The sequence below is a fragment of the Homo sapiens genome, chromosome 20, assembly GCF_000001405.40.
Source record: "Homo sapiens chromosome 20, GRCh38.p14 Primary Assembly".
In the NCBI taxonomy this organism is placed as follows: Eukaryota; Metazoa; Chordata; class Mammalia; order Primates; family Hominidae; genus Homo; species Homo sapiens.
In genome coordinates, this window is record NC_000020.11 from 31567541 (window position 1) to 31585003 (window position 17463).

Genomic DNA, 17463 nt, shown 5'->3' on the forward strand with positions numbered 1-17463 from the left:
CATTTCTCTCCCAATTCTCCACCTTTTTACTTTTCCCTTCTATTCTCCTCCTTTTTTTATTGATTTACTTATTTTTATATTGGTACCACATTCACATAGTTAAAAATTCCAAAGCTGTAACAGAGAGAGCACCCTCATGCTCCAGCTACCCCACAGAGGCCAGCAGTGTTACACAGACATTCAGACACCTGTGCACTGATGTGTGTATACTTTTTCTTGCACAGACGGTGGCATTCTTGGAGCATTCTGCACATTGGGTTTCTACGGTATTTCTTAGAGGTGTTTCCACAGCAGCACATACACTTCTAGAGCATGCTTGTTCTTCTGCACAGTGGCCTGATGTGCCTTTGTCTAGGTGCATCTTTCTTTTTTCATTCTCCAAATAATATCAGCTTCTTTCCATAAAATCTGGAAGTGCAAAAATAGGTAAAAACAAGACAGTTCTGCTCTCTGCTCCTTGGAAAGGAAGTCTCTGTCCTCCCTTAGTCTTTCCCTATCCATCTCTTTTTTTCTGTCTCTTCTCTCTCTCTCACACAGCTACGAGTCCTCGGCGGAAATCCTGCCTCATACCCCGAGGCTCACCCACTTCCCCACAGTCTCGGGCTCCCCAGCCAGCCTGGCCGACTCCATGCAGCAGAAGCTAGCTGGCCCTCGCCGCCGGCGCCCGCAGAATCCCAGCGCCATGTAATGCCCAGCGGGTGCCCACCTGCCCGCTTCCCCCTACTGCCCCGGGGCCCAAGGTAGGGCAGACACTGCAGCTCCAGTGCATAGGGCAGGGACCATTGCCAGGAGTAGGCCGCAAGAGCAGCTCCTCCACAACCACCAGGCAGTGGTTGCACCGAGCCATAGGGCTGGGAAGCAGGACAACCCCGAAGCTTCCTGCCCTCACCAGTAATGCGGGGCCCACATCATAGTGGATGGAAATGGCCCTTGTCATGCAGTAGTAGATACTGTTACCATTCAAGGTATATGTATAACCTTAGGCAAGTTACTTTCTTCATCTGTAAGTGGGCACATTCCTGCCTCACGGGGTTTATCTGGTGAGGAAAGATTTGTATTATCTTTGGCATGAACTCAGTTGCTTGAAAAATGAAGCCCATAGAAGAAGCTAAGCCAGGGTGTCTGTCTTCAGAGCAGCACCTTGCCGCTTGCCAGTACAGCAGTGCCCTCACCTCTGGGGCTGAGCTGTTTGATTCATGCTGTGTGCCCTGGGAGGCAGCCTATCTCCATCTCTTGTAGCCTTGTCATGGCCACCCCTTTTTCCACGCTACAGCAGAAGGTTCAGGAAGCTTGAAATCAGCCCACACAAGCCCAGGCCCAACCTCTCTTCCATTGGCTGCTGCCCTTGCTGCCTCCTGGTACCCCCAGGCTCAGAGAAAGCAGAGCAGCCTGCCTGAGGAGGGCATGTGGTAGGGCTGGGGCCAGGCGCTGTTAGGTGCTGGGCAGTGGACACAGGGCTGACGCTCTGCATGTGACCAGGCGCTTTCCTAGGATGGGGGTGGGGGAAGGGGACAACCAAGGTTCTGCTCACCCTCTCCTCTAAATGAATTTTTATTGTTGTTTTTTTTTTTTTGGTCAGTTATGAGGAGTCAAATCCTAAGGATCCAGCGGCAGTGACAGAATCCAAAGAGGGAACAGAGGCATCAGCATCGAAGGGGCTGGAGAAGAAAGAGAAATGATGCAGCTGGTGCCCGAGCCTCTCAGGGCCAGACCAGACAGATGGGGGCTGGGCCCACACAGGCGTGCACCGGTAGAGGGCACAGGAGGCCAAGGGCAGCTCCAGGACAGGGCAGGGGGCAGCAGGATACCTCCAGCCAGGCCTCTGTGGCCTCTGTTTCCTTCTCCCTTTCTTGGCCCTCCTCTGCTCCTCCCCACACCCTGCAGGCAAAAGAAACCCCCAGCTTCCCCCCTCCCCGGGAGCCAGGTGGGAAAAGTGGGTGTGATTTTTAGATTTTGTATTGTGGACTGATTTTGCCTCACATTAAAAACTCATCCCATGGCCAGGGCGGGCCACTGTGCTCCTGGAAGATTCTCTGTTTAAGCACCCAGTGTCTTGCCCTGGGTTTTCTAGGTCTCACCTGCCCACCCAAAATCTTTTCTGCAAGCCCCTTAAGGGTGCCCACCCCAGTGCCTGGCCAGCCCTGCACCCGTAAAACACCTTTTAGCCAGTAGAGGGGGCCCACGAGCCCTCTCTCACCAGCTAGCACTTTTCTCACCACCTTCCTCGAAATACTTGGGGGCAGCAAGGGTGTTGGCAGATGAGAGTCTCCCACTCACCATGGTGAGAGTGGTGGGGAGTACCCAGGGCTGACCTGACTCACAAGGGAAGCAGTAACTGTAGAACCTGCCAGCCTCCCTGGTCCCTGTGCCCATATGGCTTCGGCTGATGAGGGCTCAGACTCTAGGTTGCCCTGAAGATCAAGGCTTTGTCTCCCATTCTGCCCATTCCTGGGTTTCTTCCCAAAATGACTACTGTGGGGCCAGTCATGGCACAAGGGCCAGGACCTCTAGAGGCTGGGGTGGGGAAGGACTGAGCTAGTGATTCTTAGAGGCCTTCTGGGGCCTAAGAGCTGAAATCTCAGCGCCCGGGTTTCCCTAAAGTTTGCTGAAGACAGCAGCCCCGGCCAGCAGGAGACCGACCGGGCACCACCCCAAACCAGGCAAACGGTGGCCACAACCCTCATCCACCCACCTGGTATGAGGTCACTGAGTGGGGAAACAGACAGGAGCGGGTGGCCACCATACTGACAGACCCGGGGCTCTCCCTTGCCCAAGCTTCAGGTTCAAAGGCTGAAAATAACAGTGGCTTCCAGTTTGGAAGTGGCCAAAGGACAATCATGACCAGAGACTCAGGAGTATGACTGTAATACCCTCACTAGGTATTGACATGCACTAAGCACCTTGATATAGGATTTCACTTCCTTCTGAGTCTTGGGCTGTATGTGCTATTATTCGCTCCGCTGTGCAGATGAGGGAATTGAGGCAGCTTGCCCATGGACATCGATTTGACCTTAGCCAAGCCAAACAATTCCAGGTTCCTAAGGACCGCAGCTCCTCCCCAGACCCCTGGGACCAAGTCACTGGCTGGTGTGCTGGGCATCCCTGAGCCCCAGCCACCCAATTTTACTGGCTCCAGGGTTCTATAGGAAGGAAAAGGGGTAGAAAATTTCAAAAGGCTTCTTCCTTTCAGGGAGGGGGGTTCCCTTTCAGGGGCTTCTGGAATCTCTACCCACTCCAGCCAACTCTGAGGCCATGTGGTCCTGGAACAAGGCCCCTCTGAGGCAGATGGGGCAGGCGGCCCAGGCACATAGCATGGTTGGCTCTGCGGCCCAGGGCGCACAAAGGCCTTATTGAGTCACCACCAGCCCCCGGCAGAGGCTGAGGTGGCAGTGGCGCCGAGCGCCTGCCACCTAATGACTGTCCTGGTCCAGCCAGATGTTCCACAGACCTCCGGAGCAGCGGACTAGGGCCCGCCCGGCCAGCCGGCACCGCAGAGGCCACTGTAATTCCAATTAACCAGCTTCAGCTGAGCAAACAGCGGGCAGTGGTGGCCCAGCCCAGGCGGTAGGCCTGGCCCGCAGAGCCTGCGAGTCTAGACTCCAGATGTGAACCGCCACCATCAGAGTCCCATGGAAAAATGGCACCAGGCCGGGCAAGGATTGGGCCTGCATGCTGGGGAGGGGGTGTGGGTGGTTGGGCAGGGCCCCGAGTGGGCTAGATGCCAGCCTCACCTGGTTTGGGGTGGATTATTAGGAAACTGCTCTAGAACCCAAGTTCTACCCTGCTTTATTAGATTCTGTTTCTGTGCCTCAGTCTCCCATGACTGCGACAAGAGAGAGGGTTCCAAGGGGAAAACCAGCCCTGCTGAGACCCCAGTGTGCACTGACTGTATTTCACGTGACTAGCATTATGCTAGTGCAACTGACCCTTGAACAACACAGGGATTAGGGGCACCAACCCATCATGGTCGAAAATCTGTATAACTTTTCAGTCCCGCAAAACAACTAATAGTCTGCTGTTGACCAGAAGCCTTACCTGATAACATAAACAGTCAAAACATCTTGTATGTTATACGTACTACACTGTCTACCATAGAGTAAGCTAGAGAAAATGTAATTAAGAAAATCCTAAGAGCCAGGCATGGTGGCTCATGCCTGTAATCCCAGCATTTTGGGAGGCCAAGATGGGCAGATCAGGAGGTCAGGAGATCGAGACCATCCTGGCTAACATGGTGAAACCCCCGTTTCTACTAAAAATACAAAAAATTAGCCGGGCATGATGGCAGGCGCCTGTAGTCTCAGCTACTCGGGAGGCTGAGGCAGGAGAATGGCCTGAACCCGGGAGGCAGAGCTTGCAGTAAGCCGAGAGAGGCAGGCGGATCACAAAGTCAGGAGTTCGAGACCAGCCTGGCCAATATGGTGAAACCCCGACTCTACTAAAAATACAAAAATTAGCCTGGCATGGTGGCAGGCGACTGTAGTCCCAGCTACTCAGGAGGCTGAGGTGGGAGAATCACTTGAACCCAAGAGGCGGAGGTTGCAGTGAGCCAAGATTGCACCACCGCACTCCAGCCTGGGGGACAGAGTGAGACTCCGTCTCAAAAAAAAAAAAATTATTCAGTGAAAGTGGATCATCATAAATAAAGATCTTCATCCTGGTCTCTGTGTTGAGGAAGAGGAGGGGGTTGGTCTTGGTGTCTCAGGGGTGGCAGAGGTAGAAAAAAAGTCCACGTTTAAGTGCACCTGCACAATTGAAACCCGTGTTCAAGTTTCAAATGTATCTTAAGATTTACTTAATCGTTGTAACAACACTTTGAGGTACCTACATCATTCTTACGATGGGGAAACTGAGGCAGAGACCGTAAGGGCGGGCCCAGGGGGCATGTGAACCCAGAGTGTCTGGCTTCCAAGACTCGTATTCACCGTGGTGCCGTTTGACATGATCAGGATAATGGATCCCTGGTTCCTTTTGGGGGCAGCATTGGAGAAGGGGGTTTGGCACCGTCAGTCTGACAGCAGGGCTGGCTCCTGCAGTGTGAATGAAGCGGTCTTGTGCTCGACTGTGAAGGGGGGTTAGGACCTGCTTCCCAGGGCGGGTCCAGCTTTCTGAGGGAAAGCCTTCAGAGCCTCCATCAGGCCGGCACCAGGTACCAGTTAAGCACTGGGCAGGGAACAGAAGTGGTCAAACGCCGCTTGCCGCGACTTGAAACTGCTGAATAAATGGATAATGTCAAGCGCTATGGCTTAGGGCAGTAGTACCTCCGGTTCCTACGATCGTGTCTGGGGTCCCTGAGGAGCAAGGCAAGAGTCGGCCATTCAGGAGGTCAGAGTTCAGCTGTTCTTGCACAAGCAGGGAAGCTGAGTCACCCCAAACACGGGCAAGACTAGCGGTGGTATCAAATGGCTATCAGGGGCGGGGCCTCAGGGGCCTGCCCCTGCCTCCCCGCCCTGCGTTTGGATTCCCTCCAGCATTCCGGGCCAGGGCGCGGGAGGCGGAGGCCGAGGAGAGGACGGGAGGAGGCTGCATCCTGCCCTGGTGCGTCAGGAAGGGCCGAGCGAGCGGGAAGGAAAGCACCACCCCCCACCCCCGCCGCGGCCACACCTGGGTTCTCCAGGCGGGCAGGGGGGCCCCCGGGCCGGCGCCTGGCTCCAGCAAGTCTGGGCCGCCTCCCCGCGCCGCCCCGCGGGGGCCGCCAGATGGGCTGCCCGCCCGCCAGCTCAGCGACGCAGGCAGGAAACGCCGGCCGGGCTGCCAGGAACGCGCGCAGGGGAGGGGGCGGGCCCGGCCGGGCCACGCCCGCCGGAGGGGAAGGAGGGGCCAAGCACCGCCCGGCGGGGACTGGTGAGCTCCAAGAGCCTGCGATCCCGGTCCCTGCCTTTACTAGATGGGTTTCCTTGGGTAGGTCGTTTTACTTCTCTGTGCCTCACTTTCCCTACCTGTAAAGCGGGGCTGCCTGTCTCCGCTCTTTTTCCCTTTTCTCTTTTATTTGTGCAGCAGGGTTTCACTCTGTCGCCCAGGCTGAAGTGCAGTGGCGCGATCACGGCCCACTGCAACCTCGACCTCCTGGGCTCAAGCGATCCTCCCACCTCAGGTGGGAATATAGGTGTGTCCCACCACGCCTGGCTTTTTTTTTTTTCCCCTAGTTGAAACGGCGGTTCTCACTCTTGCTCAGGCTGGTCTCGAACTCAGGCTCAAGCAATCTTCCCACCTCGGCCTCCCAAAGTGCTGGGATTAGAGGCGTGAGCCACCGCGCCGTGCCTCAGCTATTTTCGTGTGACCGTGTGATCTCAGGACACTTTCTTTCCCTTCTCTTCCTTGGTTTTCTTACCTGAAAAATGGGGTGAACAATTGAACCTCCCTCAACCATGGGCTAAGCCTTTGTTTTCCTCTCCACCGTAGCCCCAACACTTGGCCCATTGCCTGAAACATGAAGGCACTCAGTATTTGTTGTAAGAGTGACTATAAAGGTTTGGGACAATCCTGAGGGCCTGGCTACAGCAGGCACTTCATAAATGGACACAAATTATCAAATTACCTAGAGTCTAATGTTTACCAACCTGCGGCTTCAGGCAAGTGACTTCCCATCTCTGAGCTTCACTTTCCTCGTCTACATAATGGCTGTGAGGATTAAGTAAAATAAATAAATACATGGAAATCACACATAGTGTGTTCTCAATAGATATTTATGGAAGAGTCTCCAAAATATTAAAAAAAGGGAGATACTATTTTGAGTAAATTTGAGGGCAAGGAATATACAAAGGAGTTAGGTGGCTTGGAAGAAGATTTTTGCTATATATGTAAACTAAGCTGTGTGTGGGTGGGTATTTTGCTTGTTGGTTTTTGAGACAGGCTCTCACTGTAGTCCAGGCTGGAGTGCAGTGTGGCAGTCATAGCTCACTGTAACCTTGAACTCCTGCACTCAAGCCATCCTCCCACTTCAGCCTCCTGAGTAGTTAGGACTACAGGTGCGTGCTACCACACCCTGCTCACTTTGCATTTTTTTTTTATTTTATTTATTTATTTTTTTGAGACATAGTCTCGCTGTGTCGCCCATGCTGGAGTGCAGTGGCGCAATCTCGGCTCACTGCAAGCTCCACCTCCCGGGTTCATGCCATTCTCCTGCCTCAGCCTCCCAAGTAGCTGGGACTACAGGCGCCCACCACCACCCTGGCTAATTTTTTTTTGTATTTTTAGTAGAGACGGGGTTTCACCGTGTTAACCAGGATGGTCTCCATCTCCTGACCTCATGATCCGCCCGTCTAGGCCTCCCAAACATGCTGGGATTAGAGGCGTGAACCACCACGCCCGGCCTCATTTTGTATTTTTAAAACTTTGGCCCGGGCGCGCTGTGGCTCACCTCTGTAATCCAGCACTTTGGGAGGCCACGGCAGGCAGATCACGAGGTCAGGAGTTAGAGACCAGCCTGACCAACATGGTGAAACCCTGTCTGTATTAAAAAGAAATATGGTCAGGTGCAGTGGCTCACGCCTGTAATCCCAACACTTCGGGAGGCCAAGGCGGACTGATCATTTGAGGTCAGGAGTTTGAGAGCAGCCTGGCCAACATGGTGAAATCCCGTTTCTACTAAAAATGAAATAAAATTAGCTGGGTGTGGTGGCACGCGCCTGTAGTCCCAGCTACTCGGGAGGCAGAGGCAGGAGAATTGCTTGAACCCAGGAGGTGGAGGTTGCAGTGAGCCGAGATGGTGCCATTGCACTCCAGCCTGGGCAACAAGAGTGAAACTCCGTCTCAAAAAAAAAAAAAAAAGAAAAGTTTTTTAATTAGGCTGGACATGGCTCACACCTGTAATCCCAGCACTTGGGACGCAAAAGGATGTAGAATGCTTGAGGCCAGGAGTTCAAGACCAGCCTGAGCAACATAGCAAGACTCCTCCCAATCTCTAAAAAATTTTCTTGGCCGGGCGCGGTGGCTCATGCCTGTAATCCCAGCACTTTGGGAGGCCGAGACAGGTGGATCACCTGAGGTGAGGAGCTCGAGACCAGCCTGACCAACATGGTGAAACCCCGTCTCTACTAAAAAATACAAAAATTAGCCAGGAATGGTGGTGGGTGCCTGTAATCCCAGCTACTTGGGAGCCTGAGGCAGGAAAATCTCTTGAACGCGGGAGGCAGAAGTTGCAAGTGAGCCGAGATCATGCCATTGCACTCTAGCCTAGGCAACAGAGCACGACTCCTTATCAAAAAAAGAAAAAAAAAAAAAGGTCGGGCACAGTGGTTTACGCCTGTAATCCCAGTACTTTGGGAGGCCGAGGCGGGTGGATCACGAGGTCAGGAGTTTGAGATCAGCCTGGCCAACATGGTGAAAGCCCATCTCTACTAAAAAAAAATAACAAAAATTAGCCAAGTGTGGTGGTGGGCAGCTATAATCCTAGTTACTTAGGAGGCTGAGGCAGGAGATTGCTTGAACCCAGGCGGGAGAAGTTGCAGTGAGCCGAGATGGTACCACTGCACTCCAGCCTGGGCAACAGAGGGAGACTCAGTCTCAAAAAAAAAAAAAAAAAAAAATTAGGCTGGACACGGTGGCTCACATCTGTAATACCAGCATTTTGGGATGCCGAGGTGTGTGGATTGCTTGAGGCCAGGAGTTTGAAACTATCGTCGGCAACATAGCAAGACTTCATCTTTACAGAATTAAAATTTAATATTAGCCAGAAATGATGGCACACACCTGTAGTGTCAGCTACTCACGAGGCAGAGGCAGGAGGATTGTTTGAGCCAAGGAGGACTGCTTGAGCTTGGGAGGTCAAGGCTGGGTGAGCCATGATAGTGCCACTGCACTTCAGCCTGTGCAACAGACCAAGACCAGGTCTCAAAAAAGGCCGGGCACCATGGCTTAAGCCTGTAATCCCAGCACTGTGGTAGGCCACGGCAGGTGGATCGCTTGAGCCCAGGAGTTACAGACTGGCATGGACATCATGGCGAAACTATCTCTACAAAAAAATACAAAAATTAGCCGGATCTGGTGGCTCACACCTGAGGTCCCAGCTACTCGGGAGGCTGAGATGGGAGGATCACCTGAACTGGAGGTGAGCCATGATCGCACCACTGCACTCCAGCCTTGGTGACAGAGACCCTGTCTCAGAAAAAAAAAGAAAATTAGATGTAAAAAACATTGAAAATAAAACAGCACATTTGGCCACCCATAGATTACTTTCAGATTTTTTTCTATGCTTTTTTTTTTTAACCCAAATCAGATCTAAATGAAGTATTTTTTCCATAGTTAACTTTCTTCCCATTTCAGTCAGTTGCCATTTCATCTCACACCCAGACAGCATCCAACCTTTGTCATTTTAAGGCAGACAGGTGTGACAAACAAGGCTATCTTCATGTGAAGGCAGACCCCTGCAGAGAATGCCTGGTGGAGTCTTTGATGGGCCCTCCCTACTGCCTTCCCAAAACCATGGGTCCCAGCTCTGTGCCCCCTGGGATCAGCCCAGTTGGGGGTACCCAGCGAAGGTGCTGCTTCAAGACCCCCATGGGCCTGTCCACCTCAGACAGGTGCTTTCCTTTGCTGCCAGACCCCCATGGGCCTGCCCACCTCAGACAGATGCTTTCCTTTGCTGCCGGAAGCTGGCCACCCACCCCCTCTCAGGCTACCCCAGGTCCCAGCTGGGCTCTGAAGTGCGGGAGGGGAGGTGGAGGCACTGGTAACACTCAGATGCAGAGGTGGTGAGGGAAAACCCAGGGTACTGAGTCTGGAAAACAGATTTCTTAGGTGTGGACTTTGGGGGAGAAGCTGAGCCTCTTTCTGCCTGACCGGGATCCTTTCTTCTTGACAGGTTCTCTATGCAACTATGCGTGCATGTTGCGGGGACGGGGTAGGTGTTTGACTGACAGTGTCTGCTCCTGTGAGAATCTATTCTGATGGACCGGGTTTGGTGGCTCATGCCAGTTATCCCAGCACTTTGGGAGGCCAAGGCGGGTGGATCACCTTAAGTCAGGAGTTCACAACCAGCCTGCTCAACATGGTTAAACTAAAAATACAAAAATTACTCCGGCGTGGTGGCACACACCTATAGTCGCATTGTGTCTGTAATTGGCAGGTTCTTGGTCTACACTGACTTCAAAAACGAAGCTGCAGACCCTCGCAGTGAATGTTACAGTTCTTAAAGGCAGCGTGTCTGGAATTTGTTCCTTGTGATGTTCGGATGTGCTGGGAGTTTTTTCCTTCTGGTGGGTTCGTGATCTCACTGGCTCAGGAATGAAGCTGCAGACCCTCGCGGTGAGTGTTACAGTTCTTAAGGCGGCGTATCCGGAGTTGTTCGTTCCTCCCCGTGGGTTTGTGGTCTCGCTGGCTTCAAAAGTGAAGCTGTAGACCTTTACAGCGAGTATCACAGCTCACAAAAGCAATGTGGAACCAAACAGCAAAAAAAAAAAAAAAAAAAAAAAAAAAAAAAAAAAAAAACACCACCACACACACACACCCCATGCAGAAAGGAACCCCAGTACATTACCACTGCAGAGCCGGGCAGCCTGCTTTTATTCTCTTATCTGGCCCTACCCACATCCTGCTGATTGGTCCATTTTACAGAGAGCTGATTGGTCTGTTTCACAGAGAGCTGATTGGTCCGTTTTGACAGGGTGCTCATTGGTGCTTTTACAATCCCTGATCTAGACCCAAAAGTTCTCCACGTCCCTACTAGATTAGCTAGATACAGAGTGCTGATTGGTGTATTTACAAACCCTGAGCTAGACACAGATTGCTAATTGGTGCATTTACAAACCTTGAGCTAGATACAGAGTGCCTATTGGTGTATTCACAATCCCTTAGCTAGACATAAAGGTTCTCCAAGTCCCCACCAGATTAGCTAGATACAGAGTGCCGATTAGTGCATCCACAAACCCTGAGCTAGACACAGGGTACTGATTGGTGTGTTTATAATCCCTTAGCTAGACATAAAGGTTCTCCAAGTCCCCACTAGACTCAGGAGCCCGGCTGGCTTCACCCTGTGGATCCCGCACAGGGGCTGCAGGTGGAGCTGCCTGCCAATCCCAGGCCGTGTGCCGACCGCACTCCTCAGCCCTTGGGGGGTCGATGGGACCGGGCGCCATGGAGGAGGGGGCGGCGCTCGTAGGGGAGGCTTGGGCTGCACAGGAGCCCATGGGGCGGGGGGGCATGGCGGGCTGCAGGTCCCCAGCCGTGTCCCACGGGGAGGCAGCTAAGGCCCGGCAAGAAATCCAGCGCAGCGCCGGTGGGCCAGCACTGCTTGGGGACCCGGTGCACCCTCTGCAGCTGCTGGCCCGGGTGCTAAGCCCCTCACTGCCTGGGGCGGCGGGCCGGCCAGCCGCTCCAAGTGCGGGGCCCGCCAAGCCCATGCCCACCCGGGACTCTAGCTGGCCCGCAAGCGCCAGGCGCAGCCCCGGTTACCACCCCTGCCTCTCTCTCCACACCTCCCCGAAGGCTGAGGGAGCCGGCTCCGGCCTCGGCCATCCCAGGAAGGGGCTTCCACAGTGCAGCGGCGGGCTGAAGGGCTCCTCAAGCGCAGCCAGAGTGGGCGCCGAGGCCAAGGAAGCCCCAAGAGCGAGGGAGGGCTGCCAGCACACTCACCTCTCGCCATCTACTCAGGAGGCTGAGGCAGGAGAATCACTTGAACCTGGGAGGCGGAGGTTGCAGTGAACTGAGATCGCACCACTGCATTCCAGCCTGGGCGACAAAATGAGACTGTCTCAAAAAAAAAAAGGAGAGTCTATGCTAATGTTTGGGTTTCTACAAGTTGTGGGTAATGGTAAAGTTGAAATCTTACGTGGACCAGTGCTGTAGATGGGTTTCTATATGGTTGTGATTGTGAATGCATGATTGTGTGTTTGTGTCTAAGTATGTTTAGGAGTATGTGTTTCTGAGAACATTTGTGAGCAAGTGCCTGCATTGGTGGGTGGGTGTGTGTAATTGGTGTGTGGGTATAAGAGAGACAGATCATGTGGAAGTGTTTGGGTTGATAAAAGGGCTTTTGCAAGGGCATTGCCTGTGCGAGTTTGTGAATGTGTGCTGTCCCATCTGCTTGCTTGCTTGTTTTTTTTCTTTTTTGTTTTTTGAGACGGAGCTTCGCCGTTGTTGCCCAGGCTGGAGTGGAACAGCGGGATCTCGGCTCACCGTAACCTCCGCATCCCAGGTTCAAGCGATTCTCCTGCTTCAGCCTCCCGAGTAGCTGGGATTACAGGCATGCACCACCACGCTCGGCTAATTTTGTATTTTTAGTAGAGAGGGGGTTTCTCCATGTTGGTCAGGCTGGTCTCGAACTCCCGACCTCAGGTGATCTGCCCGCCTCGGCCTCCCAAAGTGCTAGGATTACTGGTGTGAGCCACTGTGCCCAGCCCTTTCTGCGTGTGTGTGTGTGTGTGTGTGTGTGTGTTTCAGGTCTTGTTTCTTTGGTTCATGCTTCCCTTTGCCTGGGTCATCCCCCAGTGGTGCAGTCACAGCTCACTGCAGCCTCAAGCTCTCAAGCTCCTGGTCTCAAGCAATCCTCCCACCTCAGCCTCCCAAGTAGCTAGAACTACATGTGTACACCACTGGCCTGGCTAATTTTTTTTTTTTTTTTTTTTTTTTTTTTGAGACAGTGTCTGCCTCTGTTGCCCAGGGTGGAGTGCAGTTGCGCAATTTCGGCTCACTGCAACCTCCGCCTCCCGGGTTCAAGCGATTCTCCTGCCACAGCCTCCCAAGTAGCTGGGATTACAGGTGCACGCCACCACGCCCGGTTAATTTTTTGTATTTTTAGTAGGGACGGGGTTTCACCATGTTGGCCAGGCTGGTCTCCAATTTCTGACCTCAAGTGATGCGCCTGCCTTGGCCTCCCAAAGTGCTGGGCTTACAGGCGTGAGCCACAACGTCCGGCCAGGCTAATTTTTTAATATTTTTGTAGAGACGGGATCTCACTGTATTGCCCAGGCTGGTCTCAAACTCCTATCCTCAAGCAGTCCTCCTTCCTCAGCCTCCCAGAGTGCTGGGATTGCAGGCATGAGACCCCGCACAGTCTGTTTCTACAGCGGCCTCTCTGCGGCTTCCTCTCTTCTGGCCTCATGGAGAAACCCCAGAAAGAGCATAGACTCTGGAATTAGAGAAACAGGGTTTGGAATTCTGTGCCATTCTCTCCCTGTGTGGTTTGGCCAACTGATTCAAAGGCTGTTTCCTCATTTGTAAAATGGAGATATATAGTCAGTGGTCCTTGTTATTATCTCCCTGCTACCTGCCCCCTTCCCAAACACCAGCCAGTCTTCTCTGCTCTGGCCAAATTGATAATAGCTTTTGTTTTTCAAGCCTAAAACCAGCTTCTTCCAATTTGCTCAGCAGCTATTTGCTAATCATCCAGAGTGACCTAGGACGTATTTACATGAGCGGAAGAGCCACTCGGGGAGAGTGCTGCTGGGAATGCCTCCACAGAGATGCTGATTGTACGCATGCTGCGTAAGCCTCAGATTTTTCTGTTCAGGCCCAAATGCGCAGCACAATCTGTGGGAAAGTTGCAACAGAGAAAGCAAAAAAAAAACAAAAAGCAAAAAACGAGTTTTTACTTCCTTAATAAAATTGGTTTTGGTGCTCACTTTGGCAGCACATATACTAAAATTGGAACTAGACAGAGATTGGCATTGCCCCCGAGCAAGAATGACACGCAAATTCGTGAAGCCTTCAATAAAAAATAAAATAATTTTGTTTTCCCAATCTGTGTCTCTTTTAAGCCCCACAGGATAGAAATGTCCTAAAATAAGAAATTAAATAAGAGGGGAAGCCCCATGATCTGTTCTGGTTTTTTTGGGTGGTGGTGGTGGTGGTGTTTTTTAATGGGTCTCTCAGGATTCCACCAGACCCACTTCCCAGCCGCTGTGTGGTCTGGGCCTGAGAACACCAAGCCCCCCGACCTGCGGCCCACGCCCACCCACCACCCAGCCTCGGCAGTGCTTTCCCAGGATTCACATGGTAATGAAGGCATCCATCTTCTCCCAGACACACACTGGGCCCTGCGACCCTCCCAGGGCCCACACAATGGCCCACAGCGCCGCGGCCCCACCACCTGTTGGATTTTCCCAGGGAAGGGAGTGAGGGGGTGGAGGGGAAGGGCAGTCCGTCTCTTCCCAGCCCCCAGCCCCATTTGCACCCTGGTCGCAAGAGTCAGTCAGCGAGGGCACCCATGTCCTCGGACTCTCAGTCCATCCTCAGCACCCTGTTTCCTCATCCTCAAACTGCAAGGTGGTTGGGAGGATTCTAATGGGAATGGTAGTAAGGACACGCTCAGGAACTGTGGATTGCCAGACAAAGAGAGCAAAAGGCCGGGCGCGGTGGCTCACGCCTGTAATCCCAGCACCTTGGGAGGCCAAGGTGGGCGGATCATGAGGTCAGGAGTTCGAGACCAGCCTTGCCAAAATGGTGAAACTCCCATCTCTACTAAAAATACAAAAATTAGCCAGGCGTGGTGGCGCGCGCCTGTAATCCCAGCTACTCAGGATCTGAGGCAGGAGAATCGCTTGAACCCGGGAGGCAGAGCTTGCAGTGAGCCGAGATCACCCCATTACACTCTAGCCTGGGCAACAGAGCGAGACTCCATCTCAAAAAAAAAAAAAAAGCCATCAATAATAATGAACTTGATAATGACTAATTAATAATAAACAGGCTCATGCCTGTAATTCTGACACTTTGAGAGGCCAAAGTTCAAGCGGGAGGATTGCTTGAACCCAGGAGTTCGAGACTAGCCTAGGCAACATAGCGAGATCCCCTCTCTACACAAAGTACAAAATAATAATAATAAACAATAATAAGGCCGGACAAGGTGGCTCACACGTATAATCCCAGAACTTTGGGGGTGGAAGCAGGTGGATTTCTTGAGGCCAGTAACTTGAGACCAGCCTGGGCAACACCTGTCTCTAAAAAAATACAAAAATTGGGCTGGGCATGGTGGCTTCCGTCTGTAATCCCAGCACTTTGGGAGGCTGAGGCAGGCAGATCATGAGGTCAAGAGATGGAGACCATCCTGGCCAACATGGTGAAACCCAATCTGTACTAAAAATAGAAAAATTAGCTGGGTGTGGTGGCATGCACCTGTAGTCCCAGCTACTTGGGAGGCTGAGGCAGGAGAATCCCTTGAACCAGGAAGCGGAGGTTGCAGTGAGCCAAGATCGCGCCACTGCACTCCAGCCTGGCAACAGAACGAGACTCCGTCTCAAAAAAAAAAAAAAAATTGGCCAGGCTGCAGGGCTCATGCCTGTAATCCCAGCACTTTGGGAGGCCACAGCAGGTAGATCACCTGAGGTCAGGAGTTCAAGACCAGCCTGGCGAACATGGTGAAACCCCATCTCTACTAAAAGTACAAAAATTAACTGGGCGTGTTGGAGGGTGCTTTTAATTCCAGCTACTCAGGAGGCTGAGGCAGGAGAATCGCTTGAATCTGGGAGGCAGAGGTTACAGTGAACCAAGATTGCACCACTGCGCTCCAGCCTGGATAACAGGGTGAGACCCTGTCTCAAAAAAAAAAAAATATATATATATATATATATATATATATATATATATATATATATACAAAAATTAGTTAGGGCCCGGCGCAGTGGCTCAAGGCCTATAATCCCAGCATGTTGGGAGGCCGAGGCGGGCAGATCACGAGGTCAAGAGATCGAGACCATCCTGGCCAACATGGTGAAACCCTGTCTCTACTAAAAATACAAAAATTAGCCGGGAGTGGTGGTGCGTGCCTATATTCCCATCTACTCAGGAGGCTGAGGCAGGAGGAGACTTGCTTGAACCCCAGAGGCAGAGGTTGCAGTGAGCCTAGATCACACCAATGCACTCCAGCCTAGCAACAGAGTGAGACTCCGTCTCAAAAAAAAAAAAAATTAGCTGGGATTTTAGATGTGTACCACCATATCCGACTAATTTTTATATTTTTAGTAGCGACGGGGTTTTGCCAAGTAAGCCAGGCTGGTCTCGAACTCTTAACCTAAGTGATCTGCCCACCTCGGCCTCCCAAAGTGCTGGGATTACAGGTGTGAGCCACCACACACATCTGAGTTGTACAATTTAAATGGGTGAATTGTATGGTATGTAAATCATCTCTCAATAAACCTGTTAAAGAAAAAAAAGGGGGCTGGGCGCGGTGGCTCACACCTGTGATCCCAGCACTTTGGGAGGCCAAGGCGGGTGGATCACGAGGTCAGGAAATCAAGACCATCCTGGCTAACATGGTGAAACCCCGTCTCTACTAAAAATACAAAAAATTAGCCAGGCGTGGTGGCATGTGCCTGTAATCCCAGCTACTCAGGAGGCTGAGGCAGAAGAATCGCTTGAACCCGGGAGGTGGAGGTTGCAGTGTGCCAAGATTGTGCCACTGTACTCCAGCCCGGGCGACAGTGCGAGACTGCATTTCAAAAAAAAAAAGGTAAATTCTAGAAATGCTCCTGTTTCTGAGCATCCAGTACAATGATAAGGCAATCACTACCTCCAAGGTCCCCACTTCCCATATCCCTCCCCCACTGCACTCCCATCCCACTTCCAGGTGGCTATGACTGAGCAACTATTAGACCTAATTAATCATGGGTCCAGGTGAGTTTTGCCCACTTGTTGTTCACAGATGTCTCCAAACTACACAATCTCAGAGTGGGTAAAAACCCCAGGGCCATAGGGCTTTTTTTAATCTTTTCTGGATCCAGACCTCTCCCCTTTATATTTTAATTTCATTTCATTTTTGAACATGTATTACCTAATACATGTTCCTGATACAACGCTGAAAAACAACGGATGTCTCCCTTCTTCCCTATTGGAGGCAGCCACAGTCATCAGTTTCCTAGTGAGATACAAGCAAATACATATGTAATTTTGTTTGTTTGTTTGTTTTTTTAAGAAACTGGGTCTAGGCTGGCCTAGAACTCCTGGGCTCAAGTGATCCTTGGCCTCAGCCTCCAAAGTAGCTGGAGCTACAGGAGCATGCCACCATGCTCCACTTCAGACACAAGTGGTGTTTCCATACAGGGTCAGTTAAAAACAACAAAAAACACTGATGGTGATGAGACATGAATACTAATAGGTGGTCACATGAGAATAGAAAATTGCAGGCTAGGTGTGGTGGCTCACACATGTAATTCCAACGCTTTGGGAGGCCAAGGAAGGAGGACCTCTTGAGGCCAGAAGTCCAAGACCAGCCTGGGCAACATAGTGAAACTCCGTTTCTACAAAAAAATACAAATATTGGCCAGGCGTGGTGGCTCACACCTGTAATCCTAGCACTTTGGGAGACTGAGGTGGGTGGATCACTTGAGGTCAGGAGTTCGAGACCAGCCTGGCCAACACGGTGAAACCCCATCTCTACTAAAAATACAAAATTAGCCAGACGTCGTGAGGCACACCTGTAATCCCAGCTACTTGGGAGGCTGAAGCAAGAGAATCGGTTGAACCCAGGAGGCAGAGGTTGCAGTGAGCTTAGATTGTGCTACTGCACTCCAGCCTGGGCAAAGAGCAAGACAACAT

General features: G+C 52.0%; 1 protein-coding gene, 2 long non-coding RNA genes and 1 pseudogene across 5 annotated transcripts in view, besides 5 other annotated features; 3 read left to right on the plus strand and 1 right to left on the minus strand.

Moving 5' to 3' along the window:
- The window catches only part of HM13 (histocompatibility minor 13), a 55102-nt gene extending 53099 nt beyond the window's left edge, over positions 1-2003 (plus strand). The window contains exons 12-13 of one of the 3 annotated variants that reach the window (NM_178580.3): positions 538-740; positions 1580-2003. In NM_178580.3, the coding sequence (NP_848695.1) occupies positions 538-688 (151 nt within the window). In that variant the 3' untranslated portion in view covers positions 689-740; positions 1580-2003. The remainder of the gene's footprint in view (positions 1-537; positions 741-1579) is intronic. The other 2 variants (NM_178581.3, NM_030789.4) reach the window with 2 other exon arrangements.
- On the minus strand, positions 47-5723 carry HM13-AS1 (HM13 antisense RNA 1). The gene is made up of 3 exons (NR_046853.2): positions 5602-5723; positions 5259-5383; positions 47-408 (listed from the first exon to the last, which is right to left on the minus strand). It is a non-coding gene; the product is annotated as an HM13 antisense RNA 1 (long non-coding RNA).
- Positions 2066-2360: a silencer, noted in NCBI's record as "tiled region #9809; HepG2 Repressive non-DNase unmatched - State 5:Enh". NCBI's record gives its function as "represses a minimal TATA promoter and a strong SV40 promoter by Sharpr-MPRA in HepG2 cells {active_cell/tissue: HepG2}" and the evidence as "EXISTENCE:reporter gene assay evidence [ECO:0000049][PMID:27701403]".
- Positions 5080-5621: an enhancer, noted in NCBI's record as "H3K27ac hESC enhancer chr20:30160423-30160964 (GRCh37/hg19 assembly coordinates)". NCBI's record gives its function as "activates a minimal SCP1, AML or CMV promoter by ChIP-STARR-seq in primed H9 embryonic stem cells {active_cell/tissue: H9 hESC(primed)}" and the evidence as "EXISTENCE:reporter gene assay evidence [ECO:0000049][PMID:30033119]".
- Positions 5080-6002: a biological region, named in NCBI's record as "H3K27ac hESC enhancer GRCh37_chr20:30160423-30160964".
- Positions 5423-6002: a silencer, noted in NCBI's record as "silent region_12758". NCBI's record gives its function as "represses an Ori minimal core promoter by ATAC-STARR-seq in GM12878 lymphoblastoid cells {active_cell/tissue: GM12878}" and the evidence as "EXISTENCE:reporter gene assay evidence [ECO:0000049][PMID:35858748]".
- On the plus strand, positions 5470-10239 carry LOC107985416 (uncharacterized). The gene is made up of 3 exons (XR_005647051.2): positions 5470-5898; positions 9800-9838; positions 10064-10239. It is a non-coding gene; the product is annotated as an uncharacterized LOC107985416 (long non-coding RNA).
- Positions 7505-7674: a silencer, noted in NCBI's record as "fragment chr20:30162848-30163017 (GRCh37/hg19 assembly coordinates)". NCBI's record gives its function as "represses an EF-1alpha promoter that drives an FKBP-Casp9 reporter gene in an ReSE screen in K562 erythroleukemia cells {active_cell/tissue: K562}" and the evidence as "EXISTENCE:reporter gene assay evidence [ECO:0000049][PMID:32094911]".
- On the plus strand, positions 13549-13652 carry RNU6-384P (RNA, U6 small nuclear 384, pseudogene; annotated as a pseudogene).